The sequence below is a fragment of the Homo sapiens genome, chromosome 5, assembly GCF_000001405.40.
Source record: "Homo sapiens chromosome 5, GRCh38.p14 Primary Assembly".
NCBI classification, from domain to species: Eukaryota; Metazoa; Chordata; class Mammalia; order Primates; family Hominidae; genus Homo; species Homo sapiens.
In genome coordinates, this window is record NC_000005.10 from 143047643 (window position 1) to 143066016 (window position 18374).

Genomic DNA, 18374 nt, shown 5'->3' on the forward strand with positions numbered 1-18374 from the left:
TATTAACATTTTTAAATGTATCTTTTTAAATTTAATTTTGCATTTCTGTAATTTTGGGTGAGGTTAGACTGTTTACATATTTATTGCTGATTTATACTACTTTTGTTGAATTGCCTATTTGTATTCTTAGCCTATTTTTCTATTGGTATGTTCTTCTTTTTCTTAAAAAAATTTTTTTTGTTTTATTTTTATTATTATTATTATTCCGCTCTGTTGCCCAGGCTGGAGTGCAGTGGCTAAGTGTTGGCTCACTGCAGTGGCTAAGTGTTGCAGTGAGGTAGGAACCTCCTACCTCCCAGGTTCCAGTGATTCTCATGCTTCAGCCTCCTGAGTAGCTGGGATTATAGGTGCATGCCCCCACACCAGGCTAACTTTTGTATCTTTTTAGTAGAGTCAAGGTTTCACCATGTTGGCCAGGCTAGTCTTGGACTCCTGACCTCAAGTGATCCACCCACCTTGGCCTCCCAAAGTGCTGGGATTATAAGGCGTGAGCCACCGCACCTGGCAGTGTGTTCCTCTTTTGATTACAAGACCTTTTTAGATCTATAGACTATATTTTCAATATGTTTTGTAAGATTATTATTTGTCTTAAACTTTATGGTGCATTTGTTTTTGTTGTCTTATGACTATTTTATTGAGATGGGGTCTCACTCTTTCACCCACGCTGGAATGCAGTGGCATTATATTGGCTCACTGCAACCTCCACCTCCTAGGTTCAAGTGATTTTTGTGCCTCAGCTACCTGAGTAGTTGGGACTACAGGTGTGCACCACCATGCCCAGCTAATTTTTGTATTTTTAGTAGAGACGGGGTTTCATCATGTTGCCCAGGCTGGTCTCAAACTCTTAAGCTCAAGAGATCTGCCCACCTTGGCCTCCCAAAGTGCTGGAATTACAGGTGTGAGCCACCATGACTGGCCTATTTTAAATTTTTATGATGTCCAGTCTGTTATCTTTTTTCTAAACGAATTATGCCATAGAAGACCTTCCCCAGGCCAGGTGCAGTGGCTCACACCTGTAATCCCAGCACTTTGGGAGGCCGAGGAGGGCGGATCACAAGGTCAGGAGTTCGAGACCAGCTTGGCCAACATGGTGAAACCCCATCTCTACTAAAAATACAAAAATTAGCCAGGCGTGGTGGTGCACATCTGTAGTCCCAGCTACTCAGGAGGCTGAGGCAGGAGAATCGCTTGAACGTGGGAGGTGGAGGTTGCAGTGAGCTGAGTCGTGCCATTGCACTCCAGCCTGGGTAACAGAATGAGACTCCATCTCAAAAAAGAAAAAAAAAAAAAAAAACCTTACCCAATCTAGAATGACAAAAACCTTAATTTTCCTTAAAATCTGTCATGCAAAGTGGAAACTCTTCTTTTTCCTCTAATACTTATCCACTTGACCAGTATCCATATAATGAGTCATCTTACCCCTTTCCACTACTTTTATATATCACCATGTAATCATTCTTTTATACATATTGGGGGCCACTGAAGGAGTTTTTATACATATTTTTCTAAAGACAAACAAATCTCTTTACTGTATGTTTTTCTGTAATTCTCAATCTTTTAAACACACCAACATTTTTCACCTTTTTAATGCTTAATTTTTCTCCTGATTCTTTATATTCTAGCAAAAATTCTCAAACTTGTCCTCCATCTCAGTATTACTCATTTAAAATTGTTGGGTTGATTGTGATTATTATTTTGCTGTTTATAATGCAGATTTTAACTTTTTGTAATGGATTTTCCAATGTCTTTATTATCTTTACTTATTTAAATCCTTTTATTTCTACTTTTCAGGTATAATCTTTATTATTTCAGTCTGCTACTTGTTTTATTTTGTTGTCTTGGTTCCTGGCATCCATATTTTTAGGATTTTACTTATATGACAGAGCTGGTGTTTTCTGAATTATTTTTCAGAGTGCTTTGGTCTCTGTATTTTTTGCCAACAAATATTTTATAGGATTTTTTATCTTCTGTTTAATCAAACCTTTGCTTTTAAGCTCACTGTGGATAGATTCTCCTTGTTCTGCTATTTTCCTGATTCCTGTTAGAATCATTATCTTACCTGATGATTGGAGGGGTATTGTACATAATTTGAGCCAACTTTCTGGTATTCTTAAAGCTTTCATTTAGTGAACCTATAAGCCTGCATTGATTTTTCCTGGTTTTGGTATTTGGTCATGGTCCTGGGAGAAGCCGGATTTACTCCTGGATAATCTGAAGCATGCTGTGGTTCTTCCCTTATGACTCTCATGTTTCTTCTACGGCTCTCCTTCTGATTCACTTGCCTTGATATAAGAGGACCCCCCTCCACTTCTGCTCTGTAGTCTGATTTCATTGCCTGGATTATAATCTTATGACAGCTCTGGGTGCCCCAGAAAGTAGCCCCCAAAAGTGTGTTTGCTGGAGTGGGGTTGGGGGGTTGCAGCATGGCCTTTCCCCCACACCCCTGGGTGGCTTGGGCTATGTTGTTGGTGGGCAGAGGGCCACCACCTATCACATTGTTTCCCCAGCTGGATTTTCCTCAGGCCTTCATCTAAGCTTTGCCTAGTGGATATCCTGGTGGCAGGAGAATGTTGACTGAGAGCCTAATTTTCTGTGCTGTTAAAAATTTGTGTCCCTTTTTTGTGTGTTTTTACCATGATGATAAAGGACTGCAAATTCAGCATCACTGTTTTTCTCGTCCTGTAACCTTTTTTGTTCTTCTTCTTCTTTTTTTTTTTTTAAACCACATTTAAAGCAAACTTAGTAAAACAGAGAACACAATGAAGGTATTATACAGCAGTGCTGTAAAGCACGGAATTATAGTAGCATGCTTCACCCACTTACCGCCGATCCAGCCATGAACTATCCTTCCTTACTCTGGGACCTTGAATGTCTGCATTTCTTTTTTTATGCCCCTTATTTCCCATACCTTTTCACAGAGTGGCATAAATAAAAGCAATCAATGACTTCTTTCTGAAGAAATCAAAATGCTTTATGATGATTTCTAAGACCTAAAGGCTTACATAGGATTAAGTGGAAACAGCCCAGACTTTGAAGACTGGAGCCTACTGGAGTAGGGGAACCATGAGAAGAGCAAATGTCCAATTTTGTCTACCAGTGAAGGGTAGCAGACAAAAGATGACAGGACCAGAAGATGATAGACTACTTGGATAGAGGATTGATCATTCTGGGAGCTAGCAATACGGCTACTAATCACAATCCTGAGTCCCCAAAGAAGAAACACAGAGATGGAAGCTCACCTCCTCTGCTCCAGCCACCATCACCTTTGCCTGTTGGGATGCTTCAGGCAGGCTCTCCTAAGACTGGGTCTTGAGCCAGTAAGAGCTTTTGGATCTCAAAACAGAAGGGACTGTTAGAGATAGGAAATGCACATAAAAAGCTGGCATTAGCAGTTGCCTCTACCTTTTCATGTATATCTGTTTTTTTTTCTTTGAATTCTTAACATGTGCGTGTATTACTTTCTCACTTAAAGAGAGAAAAAGATTAATTTGCATACACTATAATGTGTTATTAGGAAATTCAAGAGTACATAGGTAACTTTCCTAATAATTTCCTCCAAAATATCCTTCATTTTGTCTGCAACACAGTAATAGACTAGATGGCCCTTGGGACTGATCCAAGTGTGACATTTCTAAGACGTTCTCCGCTTATAACCACTGCTTCCAGTCTGTGTCTTCTGATTTTCTGAATTCATGTGATAGTAGGTTCAGGAGGAAATAACATTCATTCTGCTTTCCCCACATGATGCCTTTTGTACATTGGATTGCTCCTCTAGTTTAGATCTGTTTTACTAAGCAGCAGTGGTCAAGGGACATGGTGGAGAGAAGTGTACTGAGTTCTAAAGAAGAGTGTAAATGACGTCTCTGTGGCATATTCAGATGCCATCAGGAAGCTTTTGTAAGTGAGGGGAGCATCAGGAGGGAGGTGTGGAAATCAGCAGCACTTTCTGAAAATGGTGTAGCTTGGGAGGCTGTATTCAACTTAGCTTGGATTTTAAATGAATTAAAATGGATGTGCTCAAGTTATGAGCCTTGCCTCATCAGTGCTATAAAAAGCCCTTTAGCCGGGCTGTAATTTGACTCTCCTCTCTAATGTTACGCAATATTCCTATGGTTACAGAGCCCGAATAAGTGGAAGCTAATCATTAGTTTGCTAAATGTGGTTCATGCAACAGTTCACAACTCCCAGACTTGCCAACTGCTGCTTGTTCAGTTTCATGTTCACTCTTCTTGGGTAGAAGTTGGTTTCTTCTTTAGAAAAATGTACAGTAACATTTGTCTCACATCCAGGAACCATGCAGGATGGCAGCTCTCCACGTGTCTTAGGATGGGGAGGGAAAGAGGTCATGCAAAGCAGAGGTTTTTGATACATACTCTTCTGCAGGAAAAAGCCATTCAGGGAGTGCAAGATGGCAAAGACACAAATTAAAGTGGCAGACATTTTGGATACTGGGAAAATCACATTTTGTGAACTTTTCAGAAATTTGCTGTGATAGAACTCTATGGAATTTACTGTTCTGTAGCCCCAGAAATAAAATTATGCTCTTGGGCCAGGCGCGGTGGCTCATGCCTGTAATCCCAGCACTTTAGGAGGCCGAGGCGGGCGGATCTCGAGGTCAGGAGTTCAAGACCAGCCTGGCCAATATGGTGAAACCCCATTTCTACTAAAAATACAAAAATTAGCTGGGCATGGTGGCACATGCCTGTAATCCCAGCTACTTGGGAGGCTGAGGCAGGAGAATCGCTTGAACCCAGGAGGTGGAGGTTGCAGTGAGCCAAGACTGCGCCACTGCACTCCAGCCTGGTGACAGAGTGAGACTCTGTCTGAAAAAAAAAAAGAAAAAAAAATTATGCTCTTTAGGTTTTTCCTTGTTTGTTTCATGTGACAGGAAAGACTTCATTTTATTGCTCAGTGTCACCTGCAAACATCATACAGGTACTGTGCCTTTGAGAGCCACATGTTTCTGAGCTGGGGACCCTTTCCTCTCTCATAACCCAGTATGTGTCAGGGGAACACACGGAGAGCAGTAGATACCAGCTGGATTTGTGCCCCTACCTGGTGATGATAGGCTAAATCCTGAAGCCATTCATGAGTATTTGGCCTCTTTCTATTTGGATGAAAGTGGTTTCTTTCCCAGGAAATAGAAAATGTCTTCTGCCCACCTCTGACTTATTTTTTTTCCAGCTGAAAGGCTGTTGGTCCTGCAGGAGGAACAGCTTTCTTCATTGATGTCCCAGAATTATTCTTGGAGACTCTTCAGAAAGATGCAGTCTGGTGGCTGCCTCCCTTTACCTGGTGCATCATTTAGATCTCTTTGCATTGTAAAAAGACGGAAATCCTGACCTCACCTGGCTTAAGGGGAAAAAGGAATTTACTGGCTCATATGATAAGAAGGAGAGGCAAATACAAGGGTTCAGGATCCACCATTTCTGCTTATCTTGTCTCTGGGTTGTCGGACTTTCAGGCTCTGTGTGGTGGCACCTGGCAGTTACATAACCTCCTAGTGCAAGCCCAGCAAACAGCAAATATCTGTTCGTGAGTCCTGGAGAGTTACTCTGATTGGGCAGGCTTAGGTCTTGGGCCATCCCTCATCCAGGCACTGAGTCCAGAGAGTTGATATACTTTTGGCCAGTCTGTCCTGAATCTCATTCTCCACCCCTGGAAAAAGTAAGAAAAGGGTTGCTCTCCAACTCAAAATGAGGTGCTATGCAGAAAAAAAAAGGACTGGGAGCTGGTGGCAAAGAACTAGTCTTTAGCCAGTATGAGGGAGCTGGATTCTCCCTCCTGTGCACTGAAAAAGACTCTGTGACCCTCCCACCAGTATGTGTATGACCTGGCCTGCCTCACCAGGGACAGGATGGGGATCTGTGAAGCAATTACACTCCCCAACCTCTGCCTCTTCTTCTCACCTCCTTGTGTGCTACTCAGGAAGATTATAAGAATTATCTCTCCTGTTCTTTTATCATACATGCTTGTTTAAAATATACTGATTTGTTTAAAAGTCCATGCAAGAAGAGACAAAAGAAATTGTCAGAGCTGATATGGTGGTTCTCATTGCACATTTGAGCTTAAAGCAATTTTTTTAAAAATACAAAAGTAATGGAATAAAATCATACCACAGTCCACCACTTTAACCCAACCACTAATTTAGAGTATTTCCTTTCAGCCTTGTTCATATAAAAAGTTCATAGAAAAAGTTTCTCATAGACATATCTTGTTTTTTTTTATTTGACATTATATAATGCAGGCATTTTCCATGTTGCTTTACAGTCATCGTTGTCATATAAATCGGCGAGGTAATATTCCATCAGGTAGACATACGGTAATTCACTTAATCATTCTTCTATCGTTGGACATTTAGGTTGTCTCCTTTTTTTGTTGTTTTTTCTGCTTTTGCAAAGAAGAGTGTGTGCTGAACGTTTCTGGGGTCTGTAACTTTTCTCGTGCCTTATCTTATTTTCTGAGGATAGACTGTGAGAAATGAGATTACTGGTTCAAAGGGTATAAACGTTTTTAAGACTTTGATACATATTACCAAATTGCTTCTCAAAACTCTTGCATTTGTCTCTCCTGCTGCCAGCAGGATAGGAGAGGATCAGTTTCACTGCATTCTTGCCAGCAAGAGATATTGGAATTTTTAGACATTTTCCTAATTTAATAGGTAAAAAAAATACTTGTCATTTTTGTTTTACTTTGCATTTCTCTAGTTACTAGCAAGATTGGATGCCTTTATGTGTGCTTATTTATTAGTTCCATTTTATGCTGTGCTTTATGTATTGTCTTTTCTTCATTTTAGACCCCAAGACTGCTTCTGAGACAGAAACAGATATCTGTGCTGAATGGGAGATAAAGACCATCACTAGTGCTCTGAAGACCTACCTAAGGTAGGGACTTTCCATTTGCAAGGCAGAGTGCCAGCTAGTTATCATGCAATCAGGAAGAAAGCAGTTTTATTTTCAGACTCCGGAGAGCTGTCGGGTGGGTGTTTGAGATGTGGAAACAGCTTCTGTGTGGGTGCGTTTAGCTCAGCTGGTCAAACCAATCGTAAATCATCCATAGTTGATGGGTTGCCTTTGTGCAGTGACACCCTGAGTGATTTAGGAAACTTTGTTCTATATGAGAAGTATTGTGATAATTAGCCATGAACAGAACCTAAAATGGGGTCTTCCCCGAAGTCCCTGAATAATCTGTTAAGAACACAAGGAATCATGAATCATCTTCTGTTAAGAATGCATGATTACATACCTCATGTATTTTGATAGTTTCATACTTTACACAGAGTACATTGCTGACAATGGTTCTTAAAAATGAGAACTTAATGGAACTCCTTTTTGACTCCTTCCCTTACACTGGACAATATTATTTCTCTGCAGAGACTATTTTCCTTGTATCATTTATATATGATACTACTGTACCCTCTCTATGCCTCCTTTCATTATTAAAGGTTGGGTTATTGACCAGCTGCCTGCATCTTAGTTTCATGAATAGACCAAAATATTTATGCTGGACTTGAAGGACAGGAATACCATAGTTCTTACCAAAAAAGGTGGGACCTAGTCTTAAAAGGAGAGGGGAATGGTCATCAGAAATAGCATAAGTCTCTGTGCAGATTTTTTGAAGATGGAATTGGCTGGAAAGCAAAGGAAGGAGGCCACAGAAAAGGAATTGCTGATGTAGATTTTATTGGCTATTGGGTAATTAGAGTCAAGAGTAAGATATAATGTAAGTGTTAACTAAAACTAGGAGTCGAATTAAGGGACCCAATGAGAATAAAATCTGAGCCAAGAATAATGTATAGTCCTATTGAGAAGTTTCTTATTTGAACTATCAGGAAAAAACCCTCAAGTTTATGGTTAAACATACTCATACCCCAGCAGGTAAAATTTGTTTATATCATACCTAATGTTAGGGGTTCTAGCATTCTGGAGCAATACTCCATAGTGAATTCACCACCACAACACCTACAAAAATCTTTTATAGTGTTTCTAGATGAATTGATTCTAACAACAAGCCGCTGGGAAGATCAAGACTTGCAAATATGTAGTTAGTTGCCTGTTTCTCAGACACATCTTAAAATGCTGTTGTTGATAGATGAGTCACTGACTGAAAAGGAAATCTCTTAGTTTGTGTTAGACTCTTGCATTAGCACTATTTTAGTGTTGACAATGAAACATAGTTGTGTCTATTCATTTAAGAAAGAGAGAGAATAAACATTTTGGGTGAAATCTCAGAACGCTTGCAATAGGGAAACTACATTGTTATTGTTTCCCTGTGATCTTTGTCTTCGAGAAATGTATTACAGTTTGTCAGTCTCTAGGCTGCTATTTAGAGAGAATATGATTATTCTTATTATTAAGCTGACTAGCCTATCTCCTTTTCCTCCAGAATGCTTCCAGGACCACTCATGATGTACCAGTTTCAAAGAAGTTTCATCAAAGCAGCAAGTAAGTCTTTTTTGTCTCAGTTTTAAGGGGAAGAGAATAGATTTTTCTATTTCAAAGAAGAGTCAGTATCCCAAAATAAATATTACCTAACCCTTCGTATTCTGCACATAAACTGGCCACATAACATACTCATGAGATTCTAACACGGAATAAAAAGGAAACAAATAGGGATTGCTAAGGGCCTTTCTACCACATTGAATTTACAGCAGAGGACAGAAACTTCAGAAGTCTTTTTTTTTTTTTTTTTTTTTTTTGAGGGGAGGAGGATGTTGGAGGGATAGAGAAAAACAAGTTTGCCTTTCTAGTTTTGATTATTGGAGTTCTAACTTCTTAGGTTTTTTCCAGCCTTTGAGTAGCATTTTGCAGAATGAATCAGACATTGCACATTACCTAAATTGAGCATTGGAAATGTTTCCCTGAATATGACACCATTTATATAACTTCACAGTCCTCTTTTCCATTATGTCTTCCATTTACAGCTTCTGATCATTCTTCAACTACATCATCCAGGTCCTGGTGTCATATTACTGGTATTAAAATACATAGGGATTAGGTGCAAGCTACTCTAAGTATACTGGAATCTCTGGCTACATGGGTCAGGCCTCTTGTAAAGGGGCAGAAAGATTCTCTATCAGATTTAAATCCAGCATGAATCTTCACAGTATTATTATGTCGATAACTTGTGTCTCTCCCGGGTTCCTTTCAGCCTTTAGAATTTATTTACTCTGGTAGCTACTACTGGCCTAATTTAGTAGTACCTAATGTTCTGGTGTCCTTATCTACTCATAGTTGTCCCCTTAAAACAGGAAGGAGAAAGCCAGGAGCGAAGATGGTGTTTATGTCATTTCTTTCTAGAGAAATTACAAACCCATAGCAACCATTCTCTACTTAAACCTCACATCAGTTCTATAAATAGGTGTGATGAGTACCATCAGTCTATTTGCCAGAGTAACAAAGCCACTTACCTTGGTTCAACCAAGAGAATGTGACAAGCCATGATTTAGGTTACAAGTTGGCAGAAAGACTTGAATATTTTATCTGCCATTTCTTTCTTTCTAGCAGGCTGGTTGTCATATGTGACTTGAGGATACTGGACATTTCCTTTGATATCTTTGATGCTGTCTCAAGGTGTTATTTTGATATTTGAAACCCTTGCAATGTTGTTCATGTAAGATTTGTTTATCACTTTACAAGTGCATAAAGTTCCTTACTTCCTTGAAATGAAGTCTTCCCTCTAGGGAGCCAGCTACTCCTGAGTTTGTTCTCAGGAGCAGCTCTGGGTGTGCAGTTGACTGGCTCCATTTCATCACATCATCATCTTGGCTTTGATTTTTTGATGACAATTTTTTTGGCAACCCTGTTCCAGAAAGCACCATTAAAAGGACTTCCAGATCTAGTCATGCTGGCCACGCAGTATGCACACAAGACAGGATTGTAAATCTTTGAGAAATCCTTGGGCTGTTAGTGCTCATCCTTTGGTTTCCCTTAATTTTTCAACCTTAAAGTTGTTTAGCTGTGACACTGATAAGATATTACCTCCCTCCTTCCTTTGCAGAACTGGAGAACCAGGAGTCTCGGGTCTCTGAAATCCACAGCCTTGTTCATCGGCTCCCAGAGAAAAATCGGCAGATGTTACAGCTGCTCATGAACCACTTGGCAAAGTAGGTTTAAGACCAATTACTAGCCTTTTTCTTACCCCTGAAAGTTCTTATCTTAGCAGTGAAGCTGGTCTCAGTTCTGCTTTTGTTTCTCTCTCCCACTATTGCATCAGGTATGCTGGAGGCTTAGGAAAGAAATGTGTGAAATGTTCATTGCAGTGGAGAACAGCAGCAAATGCCAGATGGCCTTCCCAGAGGATGCTGGGGAAGTGCTCATGCAACCAGGCCACCAAGCAGAGTTTTCAGGGGGATTTTACCTATGGTGATCAAGGGCAAATTGGAGTGTGTTGTCCATGATACCAGGTCACCACACAGAATTTTGTGGGATTATATGTTCTTATGCTCATCAAGAACAAACAAAAATATGTTGTGGGTTTACAGAATTTGGGTTTTTAGTAAAGAGGACTGGATTCTAGAGCTGACTCTGTTATTAACCTGCTGCTTAACCAGCCCTGAACAAACTGCTGAACTTTCTATTCCTTAGTTTCCCCATCTGTCTAATATGGATAATAGACTCCCCTTTTTCTACAAGGATCATTGATTTTTGAAGTTACATGCATTAAAGCCTTTGAAGAAGTATAAAGAATAAAGGAATTATTTTTGGCAAATACTCACTTGTCCTCTGAGATAATCAAAGCATTCAGTAGGGACCTGATTTTCTTGGAATGGTTTTGAATATTTGTGTATTTACTGTTCCTTGACCCTTTCACAAATGGCATTGCTGACTTCCCGTGCTGCATTCATCACTACTTGTGTGTGTGTTCTAACCTTCCGTTGACTTTGATGGTATGTTCTTGATTGCAGACTGGAGCACAAGAAAAGAATGAGAGCATAACAGTTAACCTAAATTATTAAACCCTACATTCTATTGAACTGATGTGTTATAAATTTGGCCCTTATAGTCCATACTTTGCTATGCCATTAGGGTATTTCTTGGGGATAAGTTGATATTCTTCTGAGGGAGATTGTAATGGTTAGTTTTCATCTTTCTGTCAAGCACTTGATATTGCCTTTGGGAAAAAGAGTGATATATATCATGAAGATTTCCACCATTTCCTCATTTCCATCAAGAAGCCAAGAGTGTCTTGTGTGTTATTGGGAAGGAATTCGGCAAAGCCACAGTTGCTCCATTATTGACCAACTTTTTTTCTTGGCTTTCCATATCAGAGCTGCTTGTTCAGGAGTACTTAGGAAGAATAGCAGATAACATGCAAGTTTACAGGAGAATGCCCTAAAGGTGTCAAAGAATCCCGATGAAGCATGTTTAAAATAATGGGAACTGGGCTTTAAAAAGTAACTCCAGATGCTCTGAGATGACAGTTGAGTACCAGTTCCACACAACCTAGAGTCAGGCGTTTGTTAAGCAGAGAAGCTGGTTTAGATCTTAGTTGCAAAACTTTGCACACTTGAAGGACAAACACCAAGACATAGAAGGTTCCAGGTGCACCCTCCAGCCTAGCATGTGTGGGGATGCTCATGACTGCTTCATGGCCATCGGGTCTGAAAGAGGCCTTCAGGCCTGCAGAGAGCAGCTGGAGAAGGGTTAGGAACCATCTGAAAGCCATGGGCCTTTTCAAGCTGTGCAGTTGGAAGGAGAGCTTAACTGAACTGAGAGAGACCAAAAGTGAAGGGTGACCCAGCAGAGCCAGTGTTGCGTTTTTCCTACTTTTAAATTTCCTTTAGGATTGTTAGGATTCTTTAAAGAAGAAGAAAAAAGGATTTAAAAAACAAAACCAAACCCTTAAGGTAGATCTTGAACAGTTGAACTTGTTCATCTCCTGGTTGGATGACTCACTTTCTCCTCCTTTTCCCACCCTTTCCCCCTCCAGTCCCATTACATTCAGTCCATCCTTGTTACTAACCTAAGAGTTGTAAACTGGAATTTGCAAATCACAGTTGTGACCTTGACACATTTTTGTTTTTTTGGCCTTCTAACCAATTTAAGGCAATTTTATTTTTGGAGTTGTTTACTTCATAGCATTTCTTGATCATTGTCTTATCTGTGAAACTTGAGAATGATTTTCTGTGGTTTTATGGCATGTTTTGATCATTTAATTATCAAGAAATCTACCTGTAGACAAGCTCTCATGCTGTAATGTGAGTTGGTTAGAGCTAGTATTAGACTATAGCGGACTCAAATTCTTAGCGTGCTGTGTTCTTGTCTCTCGAGCCTCTATATTTAAAATGTCCCTGTGGAGAAGGATATGAATGAGCAGTGTTGAATCCAGTAAAGAGTATTTATTTAGGTCTGAAAAAATTCTTTGGCATCCAGAGGAGTTCTAAGATTCCACTTAAACTTTATATTCTCATTTACAGCACTGTCCTTATTTTAAAATCAAGCAGTAAGGGAAAGTTAACTTGGGACAAGAGGTTTGTCTGATTCCAGTTTTCTCAGGTTTAGACTTACCCTAGGCTATGCCTGAGCTATTGTTCCTCTGGGCTACTTACTTAATGGTCAGCTTCCTTCCTAAGTTTTGGTTTCAGGGCTGATTCTGCTGGAAAACTGGTGTTTACTTCTCTTATTACTTACTGTTTGCCTTGTGCATCTCAGAATTCTGGTTCAAAGGCAAGCATTTTGTATTGTATATTTTTTAAAGTACTCTTTTGAAACATTTTCCAAAACTGATTTCCCTTAGCCACAGAGGGAGATTTAAGGCATTTTATATTTAATCCCAGCTAAAAATTCATTCAGAGGGGAAAAAAAGTATTGGGTGGGGGGAAGGATAAAAACTCCAAACCTCTAAAGCAAATGATTACCAGGGTACATCCAAATCACAGAGATGTTGGATTTGTTTCAGACCTCAGAGGGAACATAAAAATTATAGGCAACCATGCACATATTTTTGTAGTTTCAGCTTAAATCTACTATGATAATTAGATGTTTTCTGTTTGGATCTTGGAATCTAGTATACAGTCTGGAGTCATGTGCCTCAAAGCATGGTTAGAATAACCCGGGGCGCTTGTTTACATTGACATTTCTGGGCTCTGTGGGTCTACTCAGTCAGGCTCGCTGCCTGGGAATCTGCATTTCTGATTTATTTTGCAGGTAATTATTATGTGAACAGTGATCTAAGAACCACTGGCCCAGAGAATGGGCCATATGCAAGGATTTTCTAGGACAGAGAAAAATGATATTGAGAGGAATATGGATTGGGATGTAGGCGAATATTAGAATTAGAAAGAAGAAGCTCAAAGCAGTGAGTTCAAAAGGGAGATTTTATTGTCGTGATTAAATTAGCTTTTAAAAATCCAGTTTTGACTTTCCAAGTCTTTGCAATTTGACTTTGTGTTGAGTTTTCAACAAATGTTTTTGTTTTAAAATCATGCAAAAGGCATTTTTACTTTTGCGTGATTTAGTTTTGCATGATTTACTTTTGCAAGAAAAAAATCATTCCCAGATAGCTGTGGATCCTTGTGCCAATTTTTCTACCTCTTTGAGCCTCAGTTTTCTTTCTCTTCCAATTGTATAATTCTGTTATTTTTATCAGGTGGAGCAGGACACGAGAAAAGTATCCCACTCTTATAATCATAGAGGAAATAAGAGTAGATGAGTAATAAAGACTAATTTCATGGTAATTTCCTAATGTTTACATATTATGACTCCAAGTATGTTGTATATCCCCACACATACCATTCGTAGTGGCTCATTGTAGATTTATTACCGTGTATGCAGTGAGGAAGGATTTCAAAGAACTCTTCATACATCAGGAGTAGATATTAAAAATACCTTTTCACAGCTGGTTTTCCCAAAATACTTATTGAGAAACAAACCTGAGTCTTTTTCCTTTTTTGGAGCAACTGTTCCTTTGTTGCAGGGGCATTGGAGAGGCAGAGCACTGTCTTGCTTCCCCAGAGAGATATGGTATCATTTAGGATGCTTTGAGCTGCAAGAAACAGAAAATCCAATTGAAAATGGCTTAAACAATAAGGAGATCTGTTGTGTCATGACACAGAATCTGTCCTGAGAGTTGGTTAGTTTCTCAGCTCATGAAGGACTCAGGTTATTTTCATGTTCCTGCTCAGCCAGCGTCTTGTGTTGGCTAGCTCCTCGCAGAGTCCCAGCATACTTTATTGTGTCCTTGCATGTTAGTGCTTGTCCAGAAGCAGAAAAGGCATTATTTCTTCTCTGAGTCCCTTTTTAAGGGCTAGGATGATACTTTTCCCAGACATCTTCCAGCACACTTTATGTCACATCTCATTGGTCCAGAGCAGTCATTGAGGACCACCATGATTATTTTCCACCCAACAAGATTTATCTGAGCCACTTGTGGGAGGATTGGATATCAGAATAAAGGCAGAGCTTTGACAGAATAAAGACAGCCCACGGTGTCTACAGCAAGTAGTCTTGGTAAATCACATTCAACAGAGAGTATTAAGTCTATTGCATGGTGTGCTAACACAATCAAGATATATAGGACAAAAAAGACCAATTTTTGTAGGAGAGATGAGTACATCTGCAGTGTGGGCACATAGGCACTAAATTATAAGATTTTAGCTGGTGGGAGGTAAGAGAGGGTAATGAAGAGGGCAAAATTGACTTTACTCCATTGCCTCTTGCTGATTCCCTATGTGTTCTTTTCATTACCCAATTGTCTAATGTTTATTTTGATCATCTGTTATATGTTGTGACTTTCCAAAATGGACAAAATTCTGTAGATCACTGGGATTATAAAGGAATATTGTGGGGAAAATGCTTGGCATACAAGTGAGACCTTATCAAAATATGTAGACTCTGTTGGCAGAATTATCAAGAATTAAGCATGTTGTAGCTTGGGTTTTTTTTTTTTTTTTTTTGGTTCCTGTGACTTGAGTCTGAGTACTTCCAGGCATCTCTGCAAATCAAAAAGGGATGTATTCATATTTCTTTAATGATCTAGAAACAGTGAATTGGGTTCATATACAAATGCTTGTGGTTATAAAAAAAAGTCTTGCCAGGCATTGGCACCAAGGAGGATGAGCCCTAGTGGTTCAGTAGCATTCCTTGAAGTTCTTAAGAAGGGTTCAAAATAAAAGAAAGTGAACATTAATACTTAACATAAGCACATTTTAGATACTCTAATATTCCCTCTTTTTCCATCCCAAATCTAGAAGATAAGATTTAACTTACCAATGAGCTGTTAAACATGAGAAGTGCTAGTTATTCATTTGCCATCAAGACTAGTCCAAATAAAATAGCCGTAGAATTTTACAAAACACATTTAAAGAAAACAGTATGTTGTGATGATGGCTTAGATGGAAAGCTCCTGTGAGTTTCTCTGGCTGCCTTCCCTCAGCCATACACCCTGGCTCCGGAACCTTTGTTCTCTCTAGTAACCACTGAACACCGCAGTGCTGCCAGTGCAGGATTGCTTGGCCGCTGGGCCACTGGTGGTATGGCCTGATACCCCCACGCAGCCACATTGACCCCATTCTCCAGTCCTATCGGGCTTTTCCCTCACTGACTCCCACCGGGAACTCAGAGTTCTAGTGATTTTAACCCTTTTCTATCTCTTGAATCTGTCTACTTTTCTCTGTCTCCATCAGTACTCCTGTAGTCCAAGCTGCCATTGTGTCTTTCCCACGCTGCTTGCGAAGGCCTCCTCCCTATTGCTCTGGCTGGTGGAGCTCTGGCTCCTCTCCAGTCCACAGAGTGCATGTTGTGCTTCCAGGGAACTTTGAAAACTGCAAATCTCAGCATGTGATTCCCCTGCTTAAAAAAACTTCAAAGGCAGCTTCCCCATTGCTCTTAAGATAAAACCCTGGAAATGGCCTCCAAAGCCCTGTCTGGACCAGACGTTTTTGGAATTTGCAGTTTCATCTTGTGTCTGTTTCTCATGATCACCATCCTGTTCCTACTGCATGGCACACAATAGACGCTCATGAATATTTGTTGGGCAAATGCATGAAGAGTCTCTTGACCGCTTCTCAAATACCCACCTCCCTGCTCCATCCTTTTACCTTTTGCAATTCATTTTCTCCTGTCTGGAATGGCCCCTCCCCAGCCTCTGCCTGCCAAAGGCTACCTCATTCTTCTAGCTTCAGCTCAAATGTCAATGTCACTGCCAACAAGAATCCTTCCTGCCACAAGTGCCCTCTTGCTTTCCTGAGCTCCCACAGCCTTTGCTTGTTCGTCTCTTTTAGCATGTATCACATTCCACCTGGTGGGACAGTTTGCCCAGGTATGTATCTCTCCCTCCTGTGACATCTTAAGCTCTCAGGGGATGGGCAGTCTGTCTCCCTTGTCTTTGTTTCTTACCTAGAAGTTACAAACGAAGCCCATGGCCAGAGCAGCCCACACATGTGTTTGGTGGTGGTGGTATCCTACACATTACTGTTTTGAAACTTTGAACAGGTTTCCAACATCTTTAAAGGGGGCGATTTTACTTGAAAAATTCGTATCTCACCACTGACAATTGGCTGGAGCTGAGTAGAAGCCACACCCTATCCCCCAGGGTGTGCCTTCTCCAGTTTGCCTTAGTTCCTAACAGTCCCTGTTGTCTCTTGCTCCCGGCCTACTTCATTCAGGTCTCCTACCTGCCTGGCCGTGTTGTAGGCATTTGGGTTTTCAATCCTTGCCTACCTATTGGCTTATGCCAAAAGAGGAGCTCGATGTTTGGTGAATCACATAAATGAGCAAGCAGAAATGGGCTAAGGGAGTTACTTCCTTGACTGGCTCTTTTTTTTTTTTTTTCTCCTGGAAGATTTATTATTTCTGATAGATGGGAGGTCCATGAAAGAAGTGAGTGATACCGCTTCCTGGCCTATTTATGGGTATGGGGCAGGAAGAAGAGTGCATTTTTTTTAAGACTAAGAATGGGATTCTCAAAGGACCTTCTCCAGCTATTTTTGGCAGAGTCAAAGGAAAATCTATTTAAAGGGACATTGCACAGAGCACAACGACATATTTTAAAGCAAACAGACAACTTAGCACTTTAAATTAATGGAAATGGAAAGGAAGAAATCAGAGCTCAACATTATTTAGCCTCACCGCCAGACCTTTGCTTACTTTCAACCCAAGAATTTGTCTGTTCTGTGGCTTTGTAGCCTTTAGAGATAGGAGAGAGAAAGATATCAGTTCAGTTTAAATTTTTTGCCTTAAAAAACCCAACAACATTTCTGAATTCAAGGAACTAAATCTTTCACATCACATGTAACGCCCATTCTGAAAGGGGAAATGCTTGACTTCAAGCTGTTAATGTTCAGCAGTCTTAGAGCTCCTTTGATTTGGGTCTCTTGTTTGTTTTGAGTTGTTCCACTTATGTTTGGATTTATTTTCTCAATAAATTTCCTGTTTTCTGATTCATCTCTTCCTTTTCTGAGTCCATGGAATCCCCTCCCAAATTAAGGGAGGAGTGGGAGGAAGACACTCTGTTTTTCTTACTTGGTGCCGCCTTTAATTTTGGGAGTATTATAAAAGTGAGAGAGTATCAGCAAACATGAACATGACTCAGTTTCTTCCTTGCTAATCCTAGCAGAGCTTAGATTTCTTATACATTGGCCTTGGGAGCGTGTTCTTCATGAAATGCCTCTCTTTTTGGCTGAGTGGTGGTGGATAAATTGATTCGCTCACACTGTTTTGGGCACTGGAGTCCTCTCTTGCTGCATCCTCTTTGAATTGCATCATGAGTGTTATCTGCGATACTTATGTTCTTACATTGACTGGTTACTCACCAGCTCTTCAGAACAATTGTGGCTGAAACGTGGCAGCTGGCAGACTTCTACGTATATGAAGTTAATCCATGGGGCATAAGAGCACAGTGGTGAAGAGAGAACATTCTGTAGCCAAACTGCCTGATTTTGATCTCATCTCTTATGTAACCTTGCATGTGAATTATTTCTCTCTGCCTGAGTTTCCTAATCTGAAAAAGATGATAATAATTGTATCAGAAAGTTTTAACTTCGCACATCAGGTTTTCTTGGCTTCTCCTGTTTGTATTGCAGCCACCACTGAGATGACCACTTCTGTGTGGGCTCCGCTGCCCTTCCTGCAAGTGCAGCCTGGTAGCCTGGAGCCTCATGCCTGCGTTTCTTACCTCCCACCCTAGGGAGGCATGACACAAAATGGCATTCACACACGGATACGCTGGGACAAGGGGAAGTTAAAAAACTCTGAGGGGAAAACCTTTGGCCAGTGGGAGAAGGGAGCTGAGTATCTCAGAAGCAATTGTTCAACAGCCTCTTTGAAGATGGTCTCAAGAGATTGAGCAATTGTGTTAGTGCTTGAACCAGGTGGGGTCTAGCTTCTCTTCTCCGCCTCATTCCCCCAAGAATCCCCTGGTAAAGTAGTGTCAGG

General features: G+C 40.4%; 1 protein-coding gene and 1 long non-coding RNA gene across 41 annotated transcripts in view, besides 2 other annotated features; one reads left to right on the plus strand and one right to left on the minus strand.

Annotated features, from left to right (window-relative positions):
* The window catches only part of ARHGAP26 (Rho GTPase activating protein 26), a 458635-nt gene that overhangs the window by 277266 nt on the left and 162995 nt on the right, over nucleotides 1-18374 (plus strand). For 38 of the 40 annotated variants that reach the window (NR_146198.2, XR_007058592.1, XR_007058593.1 and 35 more), the window contains 3 exons: nucleotides 6797-6884; nucleotides 8386-8444; nucleotides 10000-10105. Coding sequence is in view for 37 of the 40 variants with exons in the window: in NM_015071.6 (NP_055886.1) it covers nucleotides 6797-6884; nucleotides 8386-8444; nucleotides 10000-10105 (253 nt within the window). In the remaining 3 variants the exon portion in view is untranslated. Of the gene's footprint in view, nucleotides 1-6796; nucleotides 6885-8385; nucleotides 8445-9999; nucleotides 10106-10179; nucleotides 10713-18374 lie in introns of those variants that run through there. The other 2 variants (XM_006714774.5, XM_011537610.4) reach the window with 2 other exon arrangements.
* LOC124901097 (uncharacterized) lies at nucleotides 6211-10107 on the minus strand. Its single transcript, XR_007058979.1, has 2 exons — nucleotides 9410-10107; nucleotides 6211-6471 (listed from the first exon to the last, which is right to left on the minus strand). It is a non-coding gene; the product is annotated as an uncharacterized LOC124901097 (long non-coding RNA).
* Nucleotides 6830-6879: an enhancer, noted in NCBI's record as "active region_23325". NCBI's record gives its function as "activates an Ori minimal core promoter by ATAC-STARR-seq in GM12878 lymphoblastoid cells {active_cell/tissue: GM12878}" and the evidence as "EXISTENCE:reporter gene assay evidence [ECO:0000049][PMID:35858748]".
* Nucleotides 9790-9849: an enhancer, noted in NCBI's record as "active region_23326". NCBI's record gives its function as "activates an Ori minimal core promoter by ATAC-STARR-seq in GM12878 lymphoblastoid cells {active_cell/tissue: GM12878}" and the evidence as "EXISTENCE:reporter gene assay evidence [ECO:0000049][PMID:35858748]".